At 36.0% G+C, this 26,583-nt stretch overlaps 1 long non-coding RNA gene and 1 pseudogene across 1 annotated transcript, besides 1 other annotated feature; both read left to right on the forward strand.

The window, feature by feature from the left end:
• Positions 519-1,044: an enhancer, noted in NCBI's record as "H3K27ac-H3K4me1 hESC enhancer chr5:103415333-103415858 (GRCh37/hg19 assembly coordinates)". NCBI's record gives its function as "activates a minimal SCP1, AML or CMV promoter by ChIP-STARR-seq in naive H9 embryonic stem cells {active_cell/tissue: H9 hESC(naive)}" and the evidence as "EXISTENCE:reporter gene assay evidence [ECO:0000049][PMID:30033119]".
• NIHCOLE (ncRNA involved in NHEJ oncogenic ligation efficiency) lies at positions 1,785-26,339 on the forward strand. The gene is made up of 3 exons (XR_001742526.3): positions 1,785-1,928; positions 2,767-2,834; positions 25,061-26,339. It is a non-coding gene; the product is annotated as an ncRNA involved in NHEJ oncogenic ligation efficiency (long non-coding RNA).
• On the forward strand, positions 19,761-19,925 carry RNU1-140P (RNA, U1 small nuclear 140, pseudogene; annotated as a pseudogene).
• Positions 26,340-26,583: the final 244 nt, after the last annotated feature.

Here is a 26,583-nt window from a genome sequence, read left to right on the forward strand (position 1 = left end):
TTCCATTGCTGATACCCTTTCTTCCAGTTGATCGCATCGGCTCCTGAGGCTTCTGCATTCTTCACGTAGTTCTCGAGCCTTGGTTTTCAGCTCCATCATCTCCTTTAAGCACTTCTCTGTATTGGTTATTCTAGTTATACATTCTTCTACATTTTTTTCAAAGTTTTCAACTTCTTTGCCTTTGGTTTGAATGTCCTCCCATAGCTCAGAGTAATTTGATTGTCTGAAGCCTTCTTCTCTCAGCTCGTCAAAGTCATTCTCCATCCAGCTTTGTTCCGTTGCTGGTGAGGAACTGCGTTCCTTTGGAGGAGGAGAGGCGCTCTGCTTTTTAGAGTTTCCAGTTTTTCTGTTCTGTTTTTTCCCCATCTTTGTGGTTTTATCTACTTTTGGTCTTTGATGATGGTGATGTACAGATGGGTTTTTGGTGTGGATGTCCTTTCTGTTTGTTAGTTTTCCTTCTAACAGAGAGGACCCTCAGCTGCAGGTCTGTTGGAGTACCCTGCCGTGTGAGGTGTCAGTGTGCCCCTGCTGGGGGGTGCCTCCCAGTTAGGCTGCTCGGGGGTCGGGGTCAGGGACCCACTTGAGGAGGCAGTCTGCCCGTTCTCAGATCTCCAGCTGCGTGCTGGGAGAACCACTGCTCTCTTCAAAGCTGTCAGACAGGGACATTTAAGTCTGCAGAGGTTACTGCTGTCTTTTTGTTTGTCTGTGCCCTGCCCCCAGAGGTGGAGCCTACAGAAGCAGGCAGGCCTCCTTGAGCTGTGGTGGGCTCCACCCACTTCGAGCTTCCTGGCTGCTTTGTTTACCTAATCAAGCCTGGGCAATGGCGGGTGCCCCTCCTCCAGCCTCGCTGCCGCCTTGCAGTTTGATCTCAGACTGCTGTGCTAGCAATCAGCGAGACTCCGTGGGCGTAGGACCCTCTGAGCCAGGTGTGGGATATAATCTCGTGGTGCGCCGTTTTTTAAGCCCGTCGGAAAAGCACAGTATTCGGGTGGGAGTGACCCGATTTTCCAGGTGCGTACATCACCCCTTTCTTTGACTCAGAAAGGGAACTCTCTGACCCCTTGCGCTTCCCAAGTGAGGCAATGCCTCGCCCTGCTTCGGCTCGCGCACGGTGTGCGCACCCACTGACCTGCACCCACTGTCTGGCACTCCCTAGTGAGATGAACCCGGTACCTCAGATGGAAATGCAGAAATCACCCGTCTTCTGCGTAGCTCACGCTGGGAGCTGTAGACCGGAGCTGTTCTTATTCGGCCATCTTGGCTCCTCCTGAAGATATTTTTAAAAAATAGATTCTTTCAATTTTGGGGGAGCAATAACTTTAAAAATCATATTATATTGACAAAAGCATACATATGGATGATAGCTATTCAATTCTGGAGTGGCTTTTTTACCATCCCGTATTTCATAATCAGAATAACTTTCTAAAAAACAATTTTTATCTTGCCACTCTCAATTTAAAACCATTTAATCTTAGCTCCATTTATTATATGTATTCTCCCTTACAATTAAAACCAACTTATGATTTAATTCCTGAAAAGGGCTTTGTACATTTCTATTTTCTGCCTTTGCTCAGATATTTCCTTCTTCCCATACCTTCTATTTCTATCTGCCAGAACCTTATACATTTTTAATGACTAACTTAAATGCTACCTCTTCGTGACTATTTTCCCAAGTATACTCATTAGAAAGTTTGATCTTATCTCCCCTTTAAAGGGCATAGTATTCATTGTACAATATACTTATGGTATGTAGATTTCTATCATTTATATTTGTGTCTTACATCTTTTCCTCAGTTTCAAACATCTTCAAGGCAGAAACGTGTTGTATTTGCATGCTGTTTAGAAGGCAGTGTACTGAATAGTACCAGTTTTTTCAGAGACAAATATGGTGTACTTATTTGAAAAGAAAGGATGATACACATACATAGGTAGGTAAGATGGGGTTGAAATTGTTTCCTTGAAACTTAGTTGAAGAAACTTTTCCTGTAAAGGATATGAGCATGTGTTATTTTTTTATCAGGCTTAAGTGTGGCATATTTTATTGAATTTCATATTTTTCATAAAGATAAATCATTTAGAGCAGTGTTTTACATTAAAATTAATATATTATGGTATATGTATAAATTCTGCATGAAGTCTAAAGATAAAACATGAGAACTCAAAAACTATATAAACTGCTATTAGCTTTATTTGTCAGTATCTAAGTCTTCCTGCTATCCTCTCAGTAGGATACTTTAGAAAGAAAATGTATGAAAATAATTGGATTAAGGGAAGTGCCACAGAAAGGGAAAAATTTGACATTAAGCAATCTAATTAACAGTAGAAAGCATTTTTAAAAAATACTTGGTATATGAGACAATGGAAAACCTCTTCATTTACAAATTCCACTGTAAATATAAAAGTACATGCAAAAGTTCAAGCATATTAAACTAATGGCAAATTATATCTTGAAAAATTGGAAAGTTTTATAAAATTTTGTAGCTATAAAACTAAACTCTTATATTTTGATAGCAGCTTAAGAAATCTATATACTACCACAATATTTATTTTGAGGTAATAATATTTGTAACATAATCTTCATTGTCTTAAATAATAATATAATTATATGTGAACTAATTCTGTGTATTATTACAATAACAGATTTATTAACAATTTTATAATAAATGATTTTTTCTTCTATAATGATAGGAATAGCCTTTTCTAAGCATATAAACATTGCCAATCATCCTCATCCAAAGTTTTTACTGTTGTTTTACTCTTAAACAGCCATCCAAAAAATCCTGCAACCAGTAGCAAATTATATTACACATTGGACACATCCTAAATGATGCAAGGTAATAACAAAAATTTACCTGTTTTCAATCATGTTCTTCCCCTGGTTAAATGCTATTTGAAATATTTTTAATTCTTTGTATCTTTTTTGCAACATGTAACTAATGAAAAAATGTTGTTTATTAGACAATTTCAGCCTCAGAACATGCAAAACCACGACACACTGGTATGGTCAAACCAGGCTCTTCACTCTCCATTCAACTTGACATTTGCATTTCTTCTCCTTCAGCCTCTATAATTATATTGTTGTTTATTTAACATACCTTTTTTCTAATCTCTACTCACAGTGACATCCTAAAATGTCACTTGAAAGTCTATGTTGACAGAAGAATTCCTCTCTTTAAATTCTGGGAAGCTATTTTTTGGGAACCTATTATGTCTCAAATGCTATGTACAATTAGAGTTGCTTCAGTTCCAGAATATTCAGTTTTGCCATGCAATTCATTGATTAATTGCAGAATTAGCTATATCCTTTTGTGTGTTATTTGGTTTACAGATTCAAACTCTGTATATAGTAAACTTCTTATGGGAAGAAATCATTTCTCAAACTAATATGAGTGTAATAGTTAAAAAAGAAACAATTTATACATTTTTAATTTAATAAACATTTATTTATCATTAATCTTGAACAGGATTTTCTGATAGATTATTTTAAGGTCTAGAGCGAGAAATGTGGGCGAAAGATAAAGCAAGCTTCATATACAATTATAACATAATTTGTTCTGCACGTGACATATAAAAAATACAAAATACAGGAGTCCAAAGAGGAGACTCTTATTTGGTTTGATGTATTAGGAAATTTAAAGGTAGTTTTTAAGATGAATAGACTTTTCAAGCTATAAAGATGTGGTTAACTATAAGGGGCTAAAGACAGAGCAGAAAAATAGTCATACACAAGAAAGTAAAATATATTGAATGATTTTGCTAATTATTTGAGTTAGAAATTATTGGAAACAAACATTGTAGACTATTACAGACAGGGGGCAATAAAGATCTTAAATATGACGACTATTACAAAAAATGGAAGATGAGAGCCAGCGTATATTTCAAATATTGACTAACACATGACAACTGATATGCAAATAATTCAGAGGGAGAAATCAACATTTTTAAGACTTGTGAAATGGAAGATTTTTGGTGTGATTAAGTCAAGGAGAAAAGTCAGAGGAAAATGGGCAGGTAATAGTGGATGAGGAGAACATCTAAATCAGTGGGGTTCTTAACATTGTCTGCACATCATCTGTGACATTTTTAAAACCACTAGTGACTCGATTGCACCCACTGAAATTCTCATGTAATGTGTCTAGAGTGTGTCATGGGCATAGGTATTAAAAAAAAAACTCTCTAGGAAACTCTTTTATTAAGCTAGGAAAGTTCTGATCTAGATTCTGTCCACTTACCAAAGAAATTCACAAGCCAGTAACATCCACTTTATCTGGAAACTTGATAGAAATCCAGATTTTTAGTCTCTATCGCAGAATACCTGAATTAGAATCTGCAGTTTAAATGCTTCCTCAAGTGATTTAACTTTTTAGTACTGCTTACCTTGAACATGCTAGGATTATCTGTGGTGCTTTTAGAAAACAACTACCTAGTTCCTGTAACACAAGAACAGAAAACCAAACACCGCATGTTCTCACGCATAAGTGGGATTGAACAATGAGAACATATGGACACAGGGAGGGGAACAAGACACACCAGGGACTGTCGGGGGTGGGGGCCAAGGGGAGGGAGAACATTTAAGCAAATACCTAAGGCATGTGGGGCTTAAAACCTAGATGATGAGTTGATAGGTGCAGCAAACCACCATGGCACAGGTATACTTATGTAACAAACCTACACATTCTGCACATGTATCCCAGAACTTAAAGTAAAATAAATTTTAAAAAAAATGTAAAAAAAGGGGGACAAAGGGCACTAGGCAGTTAATTAGCACAAATAAAATACACATTGCCAATAAACAGAAGAAATATTTAACAACAACATAAAGAGCAAATCCAAGACATATTTTTACTCTGAAAAGAATTAAGTATGGTAATAAAATATAAAGAAGACTTCATTGTTGCTAATAAAACTATATAATATGTCCAGAGTAATTATCTGATGATGATAAACAAAGCTATTTATTTTAACAGAAATTTTCTAACTTGATTTTTTTTTTTTTATTTTAAGAGAATGACCCTATATAGGGTTAGGGTTAGGGTTATGAAGAAAGAGTTCACTTATGCTTGGACATGATATACATGATATGGTAAAATAAGTATTTTGGAAAAAAATACTCATATTGACACATAACTAAGTTTGGCAGGAATGTTTCATCAGCCTTCATTTTCTTTTTAAGCTGTCATAGTTTTCTTTCTGTTAAACCTAAAAAACGACATCAAATAAAGATAATGAATTATTCATTGAAAAAATTAAAAAAAGAAAACAACCACTTGTAGGCCCCACCCACAGAAATGCTGATTTAATTAGCATAGGGTAGGGCCAAAGCACTGGGTATTCTTTTAAACCACCACCAGAAAATACAAATATGAGCCAAGTTTGAGAGCTACAGGTAGAGAAAGAATGGTGTTAACTATACATCCAAAAGTCCGACTCCCTAGGCAGTTTTCTTTTTCTTTCATTGTTTATAACAGCATTCATATGTAACTAGAAGAAGAAAGAGAAATGTTTTCTTTCTCTAAATGTATTGCAAGATAGAAGAGTATTTAATGAGAAGCCACAGAAATATTTTATGTGACTGTAATTTTAGCTGTATTTGAATCAGTTTGAAATAAAATGGAAGCGTAAAGTTGTACAAAAAAGATCTCCCAGAAAGCACAATAAATATCCATACCATCAATATACAATAATCTACTGAGAGTTCAGGTAAACTTTTTAGGCATCTCTGGTTTTTTTCTTTTGAACTGATATGGATAGCAACCCTGTTTCAAGGGACTTTATAATGACAGCCAATGTGAATTGTTGCCACACTCAATTTGCAAGGGCAGAGTTTCAAGCTAGAATAATTGCCTATTCCACTCCAGAGATGGGATGCTGACTGCTTCATTACCAGCTGGATGAACCAGGGCATGAGCAATTTCAGACAGTGTGAACCATGCTCCTTTACACTACCCATGGGCACTAGTTCCCAAATCTACTTACTCTCTGTCCCCAGGAGACAACAGACACATTTTGCTTGCTGAAAGGTGCTCTTGATGGGGCTAAAAGAGATGTGCAAATGCACCTGTGTTTGCTCTGACATCATTCTACAAAGTGAATCATTAACCATGTTGGAATAGCAGATAGACTCGCATTGGGGAATCAGTCATTGGGGTTCTTCCATTTTTAATTGTTTTCCACCCGAGTTTATCTTACTTCTGAGGCAAAAGGATGGGCAATTATATAATCTATTATTAAACAGATTGCATAGTAATATTGGGATATAGCAGGCCAATAAATATGACTAAGAAGGTTTAACTCACTATTTAGTATCTTGTGATTCCAGGTAGTTCTATAAGAACTACTAAGAAGAGCTGATAAGCCTGGGGAAATAATTGCTTTAAAAAAGTATCTGCATTTACAATTTTGCATAGTTGATATAAACTGTTATGAGAATGATTTTAGGGGACAACTTTTTTTTGCTCAATTTAAATTACTTATAATAGGCCAAGTGTGGTACTTAAATAACCAAACCTCTTTAAAAATCAATATTTTTTTCGTTTTGAGTTAGAGCAAACATTGCTTGCACCACAAGCCAATGTCAGATTTTTTTTAAGTGCATTATTAAGTACAGCTTTAAACCAGAATTGGGCATGTACATCAGTTTTCAGTACGGCAGAAACTATGATGGAAATATTGGTAAGAATGAAATTGAAGTAATCATACTCAATCTATTTGTTGTCTTATTAATTTGGAATTACTTGATATTTTATCTATCTATAAACATATGTGCATATAAAATATGGATGTAAAGTATAAACAAATAAAAATTTAAAAATATTTATGTCTATCACCAAAATTAGAAATACAACATTCTCAACTTTCCTAAGTCTCTGAATGTCTTCTTCATCCCTCATCCTTATACTGCCTAGACATAAATGGGTTTTTGAATTTTCCATACTATTTTAACAGCTATATTAAGATATTTACACAGCAGGCAATTCACCCATTTAAAGTCTACAGCTCAATGGTTTGTAGCATATTCACTGATATGTTCTACTATCACTACAGTCAAATTTAGAACATTTTTTATCACCCTGAAAAGGAACCTCATAGCAACTAGCAATATTCCTTATTCTAGCTCCCTAGTTGCCACTCCAGATAACCACCAATCTACATTTTTTTTGAGATGGAGTCTCTTTCTGTCGCCTGGGCTAGAGTATAGTGGTGCGATCTCGGCTCACTGCAATCTCTGCCTCCCAGGCTCAAGCGATTTTCCGTGTCTCAGTCTCCCAAGTAGCTGGGATTACAGGCATGTGTCACCACGCCTGGCTAATTTTTACAGTATTTTTTTTAGAAACAGGATTTCACTACGTTGGCCAGGCTGGTCTCAAACTCCTGACCTCAGGTGATCTGCCCACTAGGGCTTCCCAAAATGCTGGGATTACAGGTGTGAGCCACCACACCTGGCCCACCAATCTAATTTGGTGTCTATATATTTGCCTATTCTGTATATATCAGATAAATGAAACTATAGACTATGTGATACTTTTGTGACTGACTTTTCACTTAGCATAAATGTTTTCAAGGTTCATGTATTTTGAAGAATTTGTCAGTACTTCATTTATTTTTGTGGCCAAATAATATTAGATTGTATGAATTTACCACAGTTTATCAATTTATCTGCTGATAAATATTTAGGTTCTTTCTACTTTTCTCTATCACTACTATGCTAAAAATGTTTGTATAGAAGTTTCTTCATGGGCATATGTTTTTATTTTGGGGGGGGTACATACCTAGGAGTTAAATTGCTAGGACAAATGGTAGCTCTATATTTAATCATTTGAGCTTATTTTTCATAGTGGCTGCACCATTTTATATTCTTAAAAGTATCGTAAGAGGATTTTAATTTCCCCACATCCTCACCAATACTTGCCATACTCTGATTTTTTGATTCTAGCCATTCTAGTGTGTGTGAAGTGGTACCTCATTGAGGTTTTGGTTTGCATTTCCCTGTTGACCAATGACATTGAACAACTTTCTTGTCTTCATCAGCCATTTATGTATCTTCTTGGGAAAATTTTCTCTTTACCTTTTCTGCACATTTTTAAATTGAGTTAGTTGACTTTTAATATATTCAGTTGCAAAAATTTTTATACATTCTGAATATAAATTATTTATTAGAATCATGATTTTCTAATATATTCTCCCATTCTGTAGGTTATCTTTACATTTTCTTCATGGTGTCCATTGAGGGACAAAAGTGCTTATTGCTATGTACTTGTTCATTTGTCTAGTGACGGGCTGGATTATTTTAGTAAGGTCTCTATTCAGGCTACTGTGTTAAGCATCTGATGTTGCTCCTTAGGGAAGCAAAGTCTTGGATATGCCCACAGTCACTATAGCAGAATAGTGGTTTTGGTAGAACTCTCTTCTTTAACCATAGGCAGATGGCTAGCCCCACCAACTGCTGCCTATTGTTCAGTTGATTTCAACAATGCTCTGGGACATAAACTGCTCTTCAACCCTACTCTAATCATATTGTGGGTCCTTTGAATGAATAACGACTGAGGTCATTGTTTTATATATATAATATTATGTAACATATTTTATATCTATCTATACATCTATATCTATATCTATATATATTTCAGGAGGGTTACTCTCAGTTGACTTATTTCCATTTTCCCCTCCAAACCAACCAGCCTACCACTGAGCTTGTAATCTGAATCTTCTCTTTAATTGCTTTTCATTGAAGCCTCCAGTGTTTCTTAGGGTACCTGTAGGCTTGACTTTCTCCATGCTGTATTGCAAATGACAACACAAATTCACTCTCTGATAGTTTTTGAGGCCAGAAATTCAAAATCACTTTCACTGGGCCAAAGCCAGGACTGTACTGTTTCTGGAGGCCCTAGAGGATAATATGCTTTCCTGTCCCTTTCAGCTTCTAGAGCAGCTCTTTTTAGCTCATAGTCCCTTCTTCCATCTTTAAATTCAGTGCTGTAGGATCCTCTCTTTTTCACTCTGCTTCTTTCACATAATATTTTCTCTGTGTCAAATTGGCTTTACTCTTATCAGAAACTTGTGAGTGTATATTTAAGGCCCATCTAGACAATTCAGATAATCTTCTCATCTAAAGACCTCAACCTATTCACATCTTCAAAGTCAACCTATATAACATTCCTAGGTTTCAGAGATTAGGTGGTTGATAGCTTTCAGAGGGGCCTACTACAGTAAGTATACTTCTATCCCACCTCCAAGAAGACTTTCAAAATGGGAGTAGTAAAATGGTCTCTTTTCCATACAGAAATAGAAGAAACATATATTTCTCCATTCTTCATCTGCAGATTCAACCCATAACACATGTAGGACACTTTTTCTTCCTAGCTCTCATCCCATTGCACTGTGGGGCTGCTGGGCACCTTAACACTGCAAAGTTAAGGTGGATGTTGATTTTATTGTGAGCATAATAGTACATTTGTCTCTGATACAAAAGCCTTATATGGGTAAGTTTAAAAATCACATTATTTATCTTGATATAAAGGCTCAACTAATCTATTTGCAAGAAATAAAAAGATAAACATATGTGGTTAGAGATTTATTTTTTTGAGACAGAGTCTTACTCTGTTGCCCAGCAATGGCACAATCACAGTTCTCACAGTTCCCTACAGCCTCAGACTCCCTGGGCTCAGGTGATCCTCCCACCTCAGCCTTCCTAGCAGCTAGGACTACAGGTGTGTGCCACCAGGCCCTGCTAATTTTTCTATCTTTTGTAGAGATGAGGTTTTGCCATGTTGCTCAGGCTGGTCTCGAACTCCTGGGCTCAAGCAATCTACTCACCTGGGCCTCCCAAAGTGCTGAGATTACAGGCATCAGCCACTGCACCCAGCCAGAGATGTTTTAAGATAGAGCATTTTAAATGCACTGGACGTCGTGGCTCACATCTATAATTCCAGCTCTTAGGGAGGCAGAGGTGGGAGTATAGCTTGAGCCCAGGAGTTTGAGACGTGCCTGGGCAATATAGCGAGACCCCATTCTCCACAAAAAGGAAAAAAAAAAGACACACAAAAAATAGAGCATTTTGAAAGATTTCTATGAAACACTCATATACAATAATGTTTTGTGATCCTAAATGTCTCAAAATAGAGCGATTTATGACCAAGACTCAGCCTAGAGTGAAATTGCTGACCCCTTAGAGTGATAAGCATATGTATGGTGGACTGACGTTATAAGATAATACCTGCTGTGGCCAGGCACCCCCAAGGGCTGACAAGAAAGTAAAACCAAAAGACAGATAATGGCTATGGACACTCCAACAACTGACAACTCTTCATTCACCTTGGTTGGAGTTCCGAGGGAAAATCATAGCTACTTCCTATGATTCTTTTCCTCCACTCTCTTATTACTGTCTGTGTGTGTTGAATATATTTGCATGACGGTTGGTGTGTGAAAGCCTCTCAACAAACCATGAATTCAGAAGAATTTAATTAGCCACTGAGTCATTGTGAAACCTTCCGGCCTCCCTGTTGGAGTTAGTACAATTAGGCTGAGTCAACCCTGACACTAGAAACACTTATGCCCCTTTGGGTTGGACTTTGTATCATAGGCCCTGATGCTGTGTCAGTCCCAAATATCTTGCAAGAATGTTTTGTTGTGCACTGGAAGAAAACACAATTTTTAGATTGAATATGCCCAGGTTTAAATCTTGACCCTCATACGCACTATTTAGGATAATTGGTTCCACCGGGGTCCCGTTGCTAGAAGAGTAGGAAGTCAGTCACTGAGATAACATGTATTAGCTGGGAAGAAAGACTTTTTTGTGGGTACTTCAGCCTAACCATTAAGTTCCTCTCCCCAGCCCTCTAAAGTTAGGGGTTTATACAACAGGGAGGGGTAAGGAAGAGTAGCTGGTCAAGAGGCATCATGAATGGCTACTTTTGCTCATCTTTTAGTAACAAATACTTAGTACACCTTTCCATAGGCAAAATATACTCATCCTTACTCAAATGAGGCAAAGCCAAAATATCTCATCTGTTCACAGCTTCAATCTCAAAATTCAAGATTTCAGTTCTATGGGAAAATTGGGCCAGTTTCATATATACATATAATTTCATTTTTTCAATCATAGAGTGGTCAAGACCCTACTTTGTGAGGGTTATAGAATCAAAGAAAATGCCTGCATTTGGTACATAGTAGACAGCTAATAAAGATGGATGGTGTCATAATGTTATGTTATGGGCCGGTAAATAAAAGATGGAAAAATAGGAGATTTCATAAAGAGATCTTTGTATTAAGTATTTTTGATAATTTTAGAACCTATTAATAGTTTATACATGTATATACATGCCTATATATGTATATGTAATTGCATATTTATCTTGTATATGACATATTTCATATATAACATCTCATTATATATCACATTTAAGATATGTAACAATCATATATGTAACATATGTTTTTAAGAAAAAAGTAGAGACACAACCCTAATTTTTATGTGAGTTTTTACATCTTACATGTAAAATTTAAAATTTAGCAGGTTAAAATTTACATTATCTTAGTTTATTTTTCTATCAATGTTTAGAATCATCTTTATTCCTAGAGGAAATCTTTAAATGTGTTTCTGAAGACTCTCATAATAAGACTCAAGCCATATATCTTTTCACTAGGGAGTTATAGAATATTCATTCATACAATCCCTTAACTGTTCAGGAATATATATTAAGAGATAATGAATCAGTAATACACCTATTTTCATTCCTTTAAATAAATGGGTTTATATATGAAGTAAGAAAGTTATCTGTGTGAAGTACTGAGTAATTCAAAAATTTTGACAAGTAAACTACTGTAGCATTAAAAACACAAATACAGCTAGGTCTATTCTCTTCCTGTTGTAGGTACATATATTTTTGTTTCCAAATTTAGCTAAAATTATTTTTATTTTAAGTACCTGCTTTGGCAAGTGGCTTTTTTTTTTTTTATAAGTAACACATTATAATGCCTCATCTTGGCAGGAAGCTTGAGGGGGAAATATTATAAAATTGGGAAAACAAAATGAAACTAATAAAATAATTTCAAAATTAAAGTACTGTTTTAGCCCTCAGAATTGACTGTATCTTGTGCAGAGCACAGGATGTAATTAGTGTGAGGTCCGGAACAAGTTATACACACATAATCACAATGGAGACTTTAGAATTGTTTTGAATTGGCTGTATTCCTTTTTCCTTGTGATTTTTATAAAACCAGTTATGTGCTAAATCAAGTAAATCAGTTACTGTCTATACTATAAAGTAATCATTTGGAATATATCTAACAATGAATATTTTTCATTGCCTAGTTGGCAGGAATTGTGCAATATTACCAAAGAATGGTTGTTAAATGAAAAAGTTTGATAATGAACTTTTATGTAACTACTAGAAATGTACTGTAAAGTTTTGGGTTAATCTACTTTATAATATTTTATATATTACATATTACTAAGTGGTCTCACCCTCTCTCCATATATACACATTATATATATATACACATTATATACATATACATCTGTATATACACATGTATATGTATACATAGATACTTTACATATACATGTATACATATATGTGTATAGGTAATACATACATGTGTATGTGTGTGTGTGTGTGTGTGTGTATGTGTATATATATATATTATAACGTTGAACTTACCAGTTTATTCTTTGGGCATTGTATCTGATAGATATATTAGACCTGGATTTAAAAAAATGTATACATATTAGTAAAATCCTATGACCTCTCCAAAAGCAAACAAACAAACAAAAACCCAACAGATAGCATAATAGACAAAAAATATACAAAACAAAATTAAAATTTATATTTTATGAGTTCAAGTTAGTATCTACATCTTATTGTTCTAAGGATCCAAATTAAAGGTGCAGATATTTTTAGAAATTTAAAAATTTCAGCAGAAATAAAAATTTTATGAACTGGATGTATATATAAGTTGGTATTTATAATCTCAAAGTTATTTATAAATGAATCAGTAGAAGCCTGTTGGGTTTTTGTTTGTTTGTTTGCTTTTGGAGAGGTCATAGGATTTTACTAATATGTATACATTTTTTAAAATCCAGGTCTAATATATCTATCAGATACAATGCCCAAAGAACAAACTGGTAAGTTCAATGTCATTGTTATATATATATATATATATATACACACACACACACACACACACACACATACACACACACAAACTCTCACACACACATACATACACATGTATGTATATATTACCTATACACATATATGTATACAGGTATATGTAAAGTGTATATGTATTATCAATCAAGTTCTGCCGCAGTCAGTCAAAATTGGTTCAATCATGGTTAATAAAATTCATTGAATTAAACTAATTTTAGTTCCTACTTCTTTTGTATAGCTCATGCATTAAATTTTGAAGTTAACTTCCCAACATATTATACACCCATGAAATGTTATTTCTTAATTTAGTCTTAAACTTAATAGCATATAATGTCTTTAATAGGAATAAGAGATAAATAGAAGTTACAGGGCATATACTATGTTCACATATTATTCATGGCCATAACTTCACCAGCTCTCTTATTTATTCCTTAAAATATCATTGTGAGGTGTTTAATTATTATACCATTTTGGAGAAGAACAAAAAGGTTCAGAGAGCTTTAGCAGTTTTCTGAAAATTAGACAGTATGACTGAACTGGAATTAAGACTTAGATATGTTCAATTATAAAGTTCACACCCTTTCTTCTAAACTATTTCCATTACACTTTAGAAATTGGAATCACATTCTTCAAATTATTATGCAGAAATATAAGATGGCTGATTTCTGGATAGGCTAGGTTACCCTGTAGTAACAAATATTCTGATACTCTTACTGATTTAATTCAGTAGCTCATGATACGCCAACAGAGGTTGCCTTAAGGCTTGGTTCTCTAGTTACAAAGAGACCCAGGCTAATAGAAGTTTTAATTTTCCCAGTCTTCCTTGATCACCTCAGAGGTGGGAAGAGACACGGCAAACAGTGCATCAAATTCTTAGAACTTCAGCTAGGAAATAACACATATCATGTATTCTTACATTTTCTCAGCTAAAGAAAGCCACACAGAGTCATGTATAATTTCACAGGTGGGAGAGAAGTCCAGTTCTACCAGGTGCCTGGAAAGGGGAGAGGGAGAAAAAAGCAACTATTTTATATAAGCATGAATGGCTACTTTTGCTCATCTTTTAGTAACAAATATTTACCACACCTTTCCATAGGCAAAATATACTCATCCTTACTCAAGTGAGGCAAAGCCAAAATATCTCATCTATTCACAGCTTCAATCTCAAAATTCAAGATTTCTATGTGATATTCAGTAGCATCAACATCTGTTTCAACATAGAGGCTCTTGACACCAAGTTTTGTGAACTCAAAAGTGAAGTTCTGTGCCCCTTGCCTATCTAATTCTCAGTGGCCAAATGGGGATAAACCATAGTAAACGGTTTCATTCTGATAGAAGAGGATGGGAACTATCTAATTTTCAGTGGCCAGATGGGGATAAACCATAGTAAACTGTTTCATTCTGATGGAAGAGGATGGGAAACACCAGCAGTTACTGCTCCTGAAATTCTGAAATCCTGCCTAGCAGAGGTCAGGAGGACTCCTACATTGAATAAGGCAAAGTTTCTTAATTAGGTCTGAATTCTGCTCCCTTGTAGCAACCTTCAGTCTCTTGGCTGTGACCTCTGGAAGCTTTTTGTTTTTTGTTTTTCCTTCTTTGTTACCTTTCTGGGCCACATCACATCCAAAGTTGGCATCAGAAAATATATCCTCCTTGGGGGCTGAGCATCTTTCTCAGCTTGATTCCTGCCTGCACAAGATTTGAGATCTATAGGTCATTTTAAGGCTTAAATAATCCCAGACTTTTTGAGTGTAAGCTCATGCTTTAGGAATATAACTTTTAAAGCCTTTTTTTTTCCATTTAATTCTACTTGGTTCAATAAAGAATACTAATATAAGAGTTCCTAGGTTTACATTTTGTTTTCCTCTTTTCTTGGCCTTCATGTTTCACTTTTATCACTTAGTTTCAGTTACTTTGAGTTAATCCACCTGTATTAGTCTGTTCTCACACTGCTATGAAGAAATACCTGAGACTGGGTAATGTACAAAAAAAAGAGGTTTAATTGACTCACAGTTCTGCATGGCTGGGGAGGCCTCAGGAAACTTACAATTATGGTGGAAGGCACCTCTTCACACGGTGGCAGGAGACAGAATAGCAGGGGAAATGCTAGACACTTATAAAACCACCAGATCTCGTGAGAACTCACTATCACGAGAATAGCATAGGAGAAACCGTCCCCATGATTCAATTAGCTCCACCTGGTCCTGTCCTTGACACGTGGGGATTATTACAATTCAAGGCGAGATTTGGGTGGGGACACAGAGCCAAATCATATCATTCCACCCCGGACTCCTCCCAAATCTCACGTCCTCATATTTTATTTTTTTATTTTTTGAGATGGAGTCTCACTCTGTCACCCAGTCTGGAGGGCAGTGGTGCAATCTCAGGTCACTGCAACCTCCACCTCCTGGGTTCAAATGATTCTCCTGCCTCAGCCTCCTGAGTAGCTGGGACTACAGGTGCCTGCCACAATGCCTGGCTACTTTTTTTGTATTTTTAGTAGAGATGGGGTTTCACCATGTTAGCCAGGATGGTCTTGTTCTCCTGACCTCGTGATCCACCCACCTCAGCCTCCCAAAGTGCTGGGATTACAGGCGTGAGCCACCATGCCCAGCCATGTCCTCACATTTCAAAACACAATCATGCCCTTCAAATGGTCCCCCAAAGTCTTAACTCGTTTCAGCATTAATCCAAAAGTCTGAGTCCAAAGTCTCATCTGAGACAAGGTAAGTCCCTTTTGCCTGTGAGCCTGTAAAATTGAAAGCAAGTTAGCTATATCCTAGACAAAATGGGGGTACATGCATTGGGTAAATACACCCATTCCAAATGGGAGAAACTGGCAAAAATAAAGGGGCCACACGACCCATCCAAGTCTGAAATCCCATAGGGCAGTAATTAAACATTTAAATTCCAAAATATTCTCCTTTAGCTCCATGTCTCACATCCAGGTCACACTGATGCAAGAGGTGGGTTTCCAAGGTCTTAGGCAGCTCTGCCTCTGTGGCTTTGCAGGGTACAGACCCTCTCCCAGCCTCTTTCTCGGGCTGGCATTGAGTGCCTGTGGCTTTTTCAGGTGCAGGGTGCAAGCTGTTGGTGGATCTAAAATTCTGGGGTCTGGAGGACAGTGGCCCTCTTCTCACAGCTCCACGAGGCAGTGCCCCAGTGGGGACTCTGTGTGGGGGCTCCAACTCCACATTTCCCTTCTGCACTGCCCTAGCAGAGGTTCTCCATGAGGGCTCTGTCCCTGCAACAAACTTCTGCCTGAGTATCCAGGATTTTTTCATACATCCTTTGAAATCTAACTGGAGGTTCCCAAACCTGAATTATTGATTTCTCTGCACCATAGGCCCAACACCACGTGTAAGCTGCCAAGGTTTGGGGCTTGTACCCTCTGAAGCCTGAGTTGTACCTTGCCCCCTTTTAGCCTCGGCTGGACCTGAAGCAGCTGGCACAGGGTACCATGTCCCAAGGCTGCATTAGAGCAGGGAGACCCTGGGCTCTGCCCATTAAACCACTTTCCCCCTCTAGTCCTCTGGGCCAGTGGTGGGAGGGGCTGCTGTGAAGTGTCTGACATGCCCTGGAGACATTTTCCCCACTGTCTTGGTGATTAACATTCAACTCCATGTTACTTCTGCAAATTTCTGCAGGCAGCTTGAATTTCTCTCCAGCAAATGGGTTTCTCTTTTGTATTACATAATCAGCCTGCAAATTTTTCAAACTTTTATGGTTTGCTTCCTCTTGCACATTTTGCATCTTAGAAATTTCTTCCAGCAGATACCCTAAATCATCTCTCTCAAGTTCAGAGTTCCACCGATCTCTAGGGAAGGGGAAAAATGCTACCAGTCTCTTTGAGAAAGCATAGCAAGAGTCACCTTTATTCCAGTTTCCAAAAAGTTCCTCATCGCCATCTGAGACCACCTCAGCCTGGATTTCATTGTCCATATCAGTATCAGCATATTGGTCAAAGGCATTCCACAAGTCTCCGGGAAATTCCATACTTTCCCACATCTATCTTCTTCTGAGCCCTGCAAACTTTTCTAACTTCTGCCTATTACCTAGTTCCAAAGTTGCTTCCACATTTTTGGGTATCTTTACAGCAACACCCCACTCCCAATATCAATTTCCTGAATTAGTTTGTTCTCACGCTGCTGTGAAGAAATACCCAAGACTAGGTAATTTATGAAGAGGTTTAAATGACTCAGTTTCTCACGGCTAGGGAGGCCTCAGGAAACTTAAAATCATGGTGAAAGTCACCGCTTCACAGGGCGCAAGAGTGAGAATGAGTGCCAGCAGAGGAAATGCCAGACACTTATAAAACCATTAGACCTCATGAGAACTCACTATCACAAGAACAGCATGGGAGATAACACCCCCATGATTCAATTACCTCCATGCGGTCCCGCCTTTGATATGTGGGGATTATTACAATTCAAGGTGAGATTTGAGTGGGGACACAGAGCCAAACCATATCACTAACCTTTCTTGGAAAGTCTTTAGCCTCTTTTTCCTACACTATTTTGTCCAACTGAAATGATTTGCTAGGTAGCACAAACATGGCAGTGTTCCAAGACACCTTAATTCATTCAGAGGTTTTAACAGTGGGTGATGGATTTGTTATCTTTTACTGCATAACACATTACTTCAAAACTTAGTGGCTTAAAATAACACATATTTATCATCTCACAGTTTCTGTGGGTCAGGAATTTGGACATAATTTACATGGGTCCTCTGTGTGAAGATTTCTTATGAGGCTTCACTGACGTTATCAGCTAGTGCTGAGATCTCATTTGACCTGGAAAGGATCCACTTCTAAGCTTACTTACATGGTTGATGGAAAGATTCAATTTCTCCAGGATCGTTAGAGGGAGGGTCTCATTAACTCCATGACTCACTCCTTAGAGGGGGCCACCCTAAGCTTCTTGCCAAATACAGCAATTTACTCCATAAAGGCCAGTGAGAAAGAAAGAGTTTGCAAACACAGTGGAAGCCATCATCTTATGTAATGTAATCAGGGTAGTAACAGTCTATTATTTTCGCCATCACTAAGATGTAACACACAGGTCCTCTCCAAAGTCAAGGGAAGAGAATTCCTACAGGGTGTGGATACAAAGAGGCAGCAACAATTGTGTCCGTCTTCCAAGCTGCCTGTCATAAATGCGATAGATACCCGTCGGCTTGATTTGATCTTTGTAAGCACGTGAGATTTAATTTGTACTTTGTCTTCTGTCTCTCTTAGGACTTCTCAGTTTAATCTTTTACCAGTTAGTATTGAAAAGAAATTACCTCTTTAAAATGGTAAATTCTTGGTTTTTAGATCTCAATCATTCTCTTTCACTACCACTTTCTAACTGGCTAATTACTGTGCAGTATCTTGCCACTTCAGCCAACTGCATCCAGCACACACTCCTAACGATCTGTTTCCAGTCTCTTCCCTAAGGCTGCTGTCCCATAAAAGTTCAGAGCCAAGAGAGAGTAGGTGGAACAGCATCAGCTCTCTTTGCTCCTGGATCCAAATGTAGCCATCTCCTCTACTATCCCCACACAAGGTGATACACGACATTTCTCCAGTACTCCAGACGCGCAGCAAGAGGTAAATTCCGTAAAATTCCAGATTGTGACACTTCTCTGCGGAGTATATTCTACCATCATCTTTTGAAGCCAACCATGAAGTGTCAGAGGAACCCCCTCTCAGCCCCACACAAGGAGGATATTCCTTTTTGATGCTATAATTCATTCAGAGGCAGGGAACCTTGCCCTAGAAAGCTGGTTATTACATCTCTTTTTATTATTCCAAATATGTAGCTTTTGGCATTAACCTTTGCACTTGAGAATTAAAAATCCCTTCTCTTCTCCTACCGTTTCATTCATAAAAATGTTTTGATTTTGAAAAACTGAGGACTCCAGTTTTATTGTGTGCTGGGATGTTTTCCTGGGTAAGTTCAACCTGCCTAAGCTGCTAGGATAGTTTGAAGAATGAAACAAGAAGATGAAAGAATTACTAGTACTGAAAAATAAAACATAAATTTGAAACATTGTCTCATTATGTGTGCTTTCTTTTATTTATGTTTCCCTTATCTCTTTGCTTTCTGTATTTTGCCTCATAGATTTTTTATGTGTCTTTAAATTATCTAGTGTTTTTGGAACTATATATTCCATTTTCAATTCTACTGCTTTGTTATCTTTTAGTTTTTCAAAAACATTTTAAGCTTTCTTTTCCTATAATTTTCACCCTCTCTACTAAAAGCCATTTTTAGGATTCTGTCTTGTTTTATCTTATATTCTTTTTATTTCACGTAGTTGCTCTTGATCTCCGTCCTCATCCTTTTTTTGCTCTACTAACTTGTAACTCTTGATACATAAAGGCCATAACTTACTGCAATTATTAGAGAATACCATCTCCCAGATACTTTCTTCTGCATGTCACAATAGATCATCTCTTGAAGTATGCTGTTCCTCTAATTAATCTTCATATTGTTTTTTGTTTTTTTGTTCTTCAATACTTGCTTGGCTCCGTGGTTTTATTTTTTCTTAATACTCATATTTGAATAATGTGAGATAATGACACTGGGGTAAATATTTTTCATAGGTAAGAGTCAAAAGATTGCCTTTCTGCTTATCTGGCCGGGGAGATACCAGGATCACAAAAGTGGTTTTCACAGGGTGAGGCTTATCCATTATATTCCAGATATGCTGACCCCTGTGATTTCCCCAATTGTGGGAAACTTGACTGCATAATTTGTGGTAGTGGTGGACTGCATTCATAATCTCCCACAGAGACTGTGATATCAATCTCTGATATTATGATATCACAGTTATCATAATTTATATGTCTGATATAAATTTTTAAAAGATTAAAAAAACCATTGCTTTCGGCCCTACTGTTTATGCTTCAATAAATACTTGAAAAGAAACTTGATATGTTCAACTCCAAGGGCAATTTTAGGTTTTAAACAGACTTTATATGATTGCTTACCTCTTCTATATGCTAAACCTTGCTCAGCATTATAGAATTTTATAGAATTACATGAAAAATTAGGATTTCTACCCTTTTCCTATACTATTGTAAACTTTTATGAAAAAGTTGTCTTCAGTGAGTAAAGTGTGATGACTAAACACCCTATCATTCTTAGTTTTTACCAAATTGTTATTTAGAATTTATATCTTATCAAGGAAAATCGTGTGTGTGTGTGTGTGTGTGTGTGTGTGGTGTGTGCATGTTGGAGGGAGGTATACACATGTGTGTGTTGGGGTTGTAGCCTGAATTTAAATACAGAACATACCCCAAGGGAGAAGAGGAATTTATGCCACAGTTCAGATTTGTATATTCTCTGAATCAGGCAACAAATGAGGGTTGAATGCATGTCTATCAATATTGTTTTCTGGATTACCTAGTGTAGTTGTATGAAGCTGAATATATTATTGCCTAATGGACTTAGGTCTCAATAGTATTTTTTTTTCCTTCAATTAAATTTCATCAGTCCTATATTTTTTTAAGTTCCTACAAGATTTTTGGCTTGTCTTTCAGCACTAATTTCAAGTTATTGATGTTTTAAATCTTTTTTGTGTCTTCCCAGTTATTTTGTGAGGAAGTGGAAGAGGATAACAAAGGCTCTTAATGAAGCCATTAAGCCTGCTTTCCCATGTATAATTATATGATTATATTTAAAATTATATTTATCTTCCTACTTACAACCCTACATTTTAAAAATAAAAAGTTTAGAATAATAAAAGTACATATTAGATACCTGAAAAATACCTTTGTAGAATGAATTGAAAATTCACAAAAGTCACATAGCAATGGGGCTACTGCCCACTTAAAATACTTAAATCAATCAAGAACAGTAGAATTAACTTGTCTCCGATCAGGCTTTGGCTCAAATATCAATGATAGTGTGCTTCAGGAAAACAGAAAGATGTAGTGTTAATACTAAAACAAATAATGTCAATACAATTGAAATGTGAATGACTGTGCAACATTAATTGGATTTATCTTCTATAAAATACATGAAAAATATTGGTAAAATTACATGATATTTCATAAACATAAAAGGTAACTCAAAAAGAGATGCATGTCTAACATATTCTTGGTTTCAATGATATTTTTGAATCATTTCCAATGCATGATTAATTATGGCAAAAATAAGTAAGCTTGGAGAGTAATTGAATCAGAACCTGTCTTCTAGATGTTTTGCTATCATACTTTGAATACTGAATATATATTTATATGGTTTTTGCTGCAATAATGAGATAATGGGTCACCTATTTTATTTTTTGTCTAAAATCAGCAAATAATAGACAGCCAAAATAAAGAATCCCCAAACAACGTATTAAGGGTGTCAAGGGATCTATACTTCAGAAGTTAAACTGTAGTAAAGATTTTCCTTTACTTATTTCATATCCACCACTTAAAGATATATATGACAATACACATCTTTCCAAGTAAGGTAATTTGGAATCATATGAGTAGAATATACCTCTTCCTAAATATCTTCTTGCAAAAATTTCCAAAAAAAATCATTGAAAATTTCTTTTGGAAAAGTATTGCTTGAGAAATACAGCTCCCCTGAATCCTATTTCTTCAAACAGCCTTGCCATTGTACCAGATGGAGAGAGATAACACATGTAATTTAGCAGTGTCAGGCTAACACCTCAATGTGTTTTTACAAAAATGGAAATCTTGCCCTCCCAGAAGACAGTAATAAATAACAGAAAAATTCAAAATAAGAATGATTAGGAAGCTCTTTTTATTGTAATTCTTTCTAAATTTGTATTTAAATTAAATTGCACATGTTATAATATATATGAAATAATTTTATATTTAAATTATATCTACAATTTAGAGATACAGTATTTAAGGATGCACTACAGTATTCCTATGTGCAGCAGCCAATTATGCTTGTTGCAATATAAAAGAATATTAACTTCTCATATATTATTGTAGCTAACAGAGTGCATTATTTTTTGACAAATGTGATATATTGTAATGGTTTCTGAGTGCCTCAAAATGAATATTCCATCAAAAAATTTTAAATTTTTATTCATTCAAGTATGAATTAATATGTACTATATTTTATTGGCCTTTTTGGGAACAGGTATGTATTTCTGCACTTACCTGAAATTTAATGTTGGCAATAAGACATGATATTGTGGTAGAAGTTGACAATAAATATCCTCTGTAGCCAACTGGATTTTGACACACAATTAAGGAGAACCTCACAGTGTAATTTCCACATAGATCAATAACATTAGATTTTCCACACAGTTCAGCCTCTGCTGATATAAATGAAGGCCTCATTTTAAATTAGTTCAGGTAAAATGGGATTGCTCAAGCAACATTTAGAAAAAATATCTTTCCTTAGCCAAATTGAAGTCTTCACATAAGAAAGATAAATATTTATGTATTAATTTGATCATAGATTAAAAAGAATTATTTTCACACAGATGGCTTATTTTACAAGAAAGGATAACTTTATAACATAAACTGATAGATTGGTGGAAGTTGTTCACTGACAGCAATGTACTTGGCTAATAGATAAAGTCTAGCTTTTTTGTCACCATGAATTCATTTATACATTGAAAAATCATCTAGGGACAAGGCATGAAGAAAGGATACAATGGGCCTATTCTAACAATAGATTCGATTTCTTTATTTTTGTGTCTCCATATTGTCACCAAATTCTCCTCTGAATCATATTTTATCTGTCTAAATTATACTTTTTTACTCAGATCCCACTTTATCTCCTCTATTCATTTCAGAGGCTCAGAGGGGAAAGGGGACAATTTGGTCATAAAATGGAGCCTTTTCAATTGGGCTATGTGACAATAACCTGGTATTATTGGAGAAAAAAAATGTTCTTGTAACCATTAGTTTGCAGTCCTAGAAGACTGAGTAAAAATCAACCATCACTTTTTTTTTAATGGATATTTTGACTGGATGAAAATGTCCTTTGTTATATGGTGCAAATTCCTGAGAACAATTTGATGAACCACTTCTCATTGCACAAGTCTTGTTCTTACCAAGAAGTTAATAATATTTATTCTTATGTAAAGCAAGAATTAAGTTCCAAAAATGTCTCCAGATTTTACTAGGACTGTAAACTTCTGGAGAGCAGGAATTCTGTATGACTGGTTTTTACACTCAACAGTATCAAGCACAATACTTTGCAGGTAAATATTAGATCACTTGATATATTTCTACCTTAAAATATTAAGTAACTTTTCTACCTTAAAATATTAAGTCTATTAATTTGGACATTCATACTTTCCTTCTTGGTGGAGATAATTATTCTACTGAAAAAAATTTTAAGGCAGAGAATATTATCAGTCACTTTCAAAAACAGGAAGGTTTAGGTTAAAAACAAATCTTAACAGACTGCATCACATCATACATACATGAGACAAATGCCTTAGACTACGTGTAATGAAAGATCCTTCTAAAAAAATTTCCAATTCAATTACGTAAAATTAAATTAAAAAGTTATAGTATAAATGCAAATTAAAATATCAAATACATACAGAATACAATATCCAATTTTTTATTATTAGATTCTACAGACTTTTTTTAAGTTTCTGTAAAATTTTCTAAATGCATACTCTGTACATATTTATTTCATCATGGACAAGTAACAAGGAGATCACAGGTGACACCAATCCCCTGACCACGCTTTGAGAAGCACTGTACTAGATTGACTTTCTAATGTCAGTCTTCATTTTCTAGCTCTGTTACAGCCATGGTCTCCATATTATCTAGTACAACACACATACAAATATGTGTGATACAGTATGAATATAATATAAAAATATGTGTTATAATATAAATATAATATTAAAATATGTCTTTATACTAGATAATAATACTTAATAACGTTGAGTGTTTAACTGCTCTAAGCACTTTACCTGCAGGAAACAGTTTTTTTTTTATTTTGGTGAAATACAACTAACATAAATTTATTTACAATTTTAAGCATTTTTAAGTGTATAGTTTAGTGGAGTTAATATATTCAAAATGTTGTGCAGCCGTCACCATCATCAGTCTTCATAACTCTTTTCATATTGTAAAATTAAAAGTTTATGCTCATTTAAAAATGACTCCCAATTTCCCCCCTCCTCAACCTCTGGAAACTACCATTCTATTTTCTGCCTCCGTAGTTTTGCCCACTCTAAGTACCTCACATAAGTGGAATTTGTCTTATTTGCCTGTTTGTGACCGGCTGATTTCATTTAGTATAATGTCCTCAAGTTTTATTCACGTTATATAGCATATGTCATAATTTTCTTCACTTTTAAGCTTGAGTAATATTTCATCGTATGTATCTCACATTTTGCTTATCCATTCATCTCTCAGTGGACACTTGAGTTGCTTCTACATTTTAGCTGTTGTGAATACTGCTGCTATGAACATGGGTGTATAAATATCTCAAGACCTTTTTATCAGTTTTTTAAAATATATACTCAGTAGTAGTTTAGCTGGATTATATGGTAATTTTATTTTTAATTTTTGAGGAACTGTCCTACCCTTTTATTCAATAGTAGCTATACCAATTGACAATTGGCATTCCTACCAACAGGGCATAAGGGTTCTCAATTCTCCACATATTCCCTGATACTTGTTATTTTCAGGTGTTTTTTTTTTTTTTTTTTTTTTATGGGAGCCATGTTAATGGGTGTAAGGTGATATTTCATTATAGTTTTGATTTGCATTTCCCTAATGATTAGTGATGTTAAGCATCTCTTCATGTGCCTATTGGCCATTTGTATATCTTCTTTAAAAATATATATATACTCATTCCTTTGCCCATTTTTGAATTATGTTTATTTTTTGTTATTGAGTTTCAATACTTTTCTATATAACCTAGGTATTAATCCTTTATCAGACTTAAGATTTGCAAATATTCTCTTTCATTCCACAGGTTGCTAATTCTCTCTGTTGGTAATATCTTTTGATGCTGTTGTGTCCAGAATTGATTCATTCCTGTGGGTTCTTGGTCTCACTGACTTCAAGAATAAAGCTGCGGACCCTAGTGGTGAGTGTTACACTTCTTATAGATGGTGTTTCCGGAGTTTGTTCCTTCAGATGTGTCCAGAGTTTCTTCCTTCCAATGGGTTCATGGTCTTGCTGACTTCAGGAATGAAGCCGCAGACCTTCGCAGTGAGGTTTACAGCTCTTAAAGGTGGCGTGTCCAGAGTTGTTTGTTCCCCCTGGTGGGTTCGTGGTCTTGCTGACTTCAGGAATGAAGCCGCAGACCCTCGCAGTGAGTGTTACAGCTCATAAAGGTAGTGCGGACACAGAGTGAGCTGCAGCAAGATTTACTGTGAAGAGCAAAAGAACAAAGCTTCCACAGCATAGAAGGACACCCCAGCGGGTTCCTGCTGCTGGCTCAGGTGGCCAGTTATTATTCCCTTATTTGGCCCTGCCCACATCCTGCTGATTGGTCCATTTTACAGAGTACTGATTGGTCCATTTTACAGAGTGCTGATTGGTGCATTTACAATCCTTTAGCTAGACACAGAGTGCTGATTGCTGCATTCTTACAGAGTGCTGATTGGTGCATTTACAGTCCTTTAGCTAGATACAGAACGCTGATTGCTGCGTTTTTTACAGAGTGCTGATTGGTGCATTTACAATCCTTTAGCTAGACACAGTGCTGATTGGTGGGTTTTTACAGAGTGCTGATTGGTGCGTCTTTACAGAGTGCTGATTGGTGCATTTACAATCCTTTAGCTAGACACAGAGTGCTGATTGGTGCGTTTATAATCCTCTAGCTAGACAGAAAAGTTTTCCAAGTCCCCACCTGACCGAGAAGCCCCACTGGCTTCACCTCTCACTGTTATACTTTGGACATTTGTCCCCCCAAAATCTCATGTTGAAATGTAACCCCTAATGTTGGAACTGAGGCCAGACTGGATGTGGCTGGGCCATGGGGATCTATCCGTCATGAAAGACTTAGTGCCCTCTCCACAGTAATGAGTGAGTTTCCACTCTATAAGTTCATGTAAGAGCTGGTTGTTTAAAAGAACCTGGCATCTCCCTTTTGCTCCCTCTCTCTTGCCATGTGATGTGCCTGCTCCCCATTTGCCTTCTGCCATGATTGAAAGTTTCCTGAGGCCTCACTAGAAGCAAATGCTGGTGCCGTACTTCTTGTACAGCCTGCAAAACTGTGAGTGAAATAAACCTCTCATCTTTATAAATTTCCCAGCCTCAGCTATTTCTTTATAACAACATAAAACAGATTAACACAGATGCACAATTTTTAAAAATTTTATAAGAAAAAATTTGTCTCTTTTTTCTTGTGTTATCTGTGCCTTTGGTATCATATCTAAGAAAACACTGACAAATCTAATGTAGTAAATCTTTTGCCCTATATTTTCTAGTAAGTTTTTTTTTAGTTTTAGGTCTTACGTATATACTTTTGATCTATTTTGAGTTAATTCT

Source organism: Homo sapiens, chromosome 5, assembly GCF_000001405.40.
Source record: "Homo sapiens chromosome 5, GRCh38.p14 Primary Assembly".
Classification (NCBI taxonomy): Eukaryota; Metazoa; Chordata; class Mammalia; order Primates; family Hominidae; genus Homo; species Homo sapiens.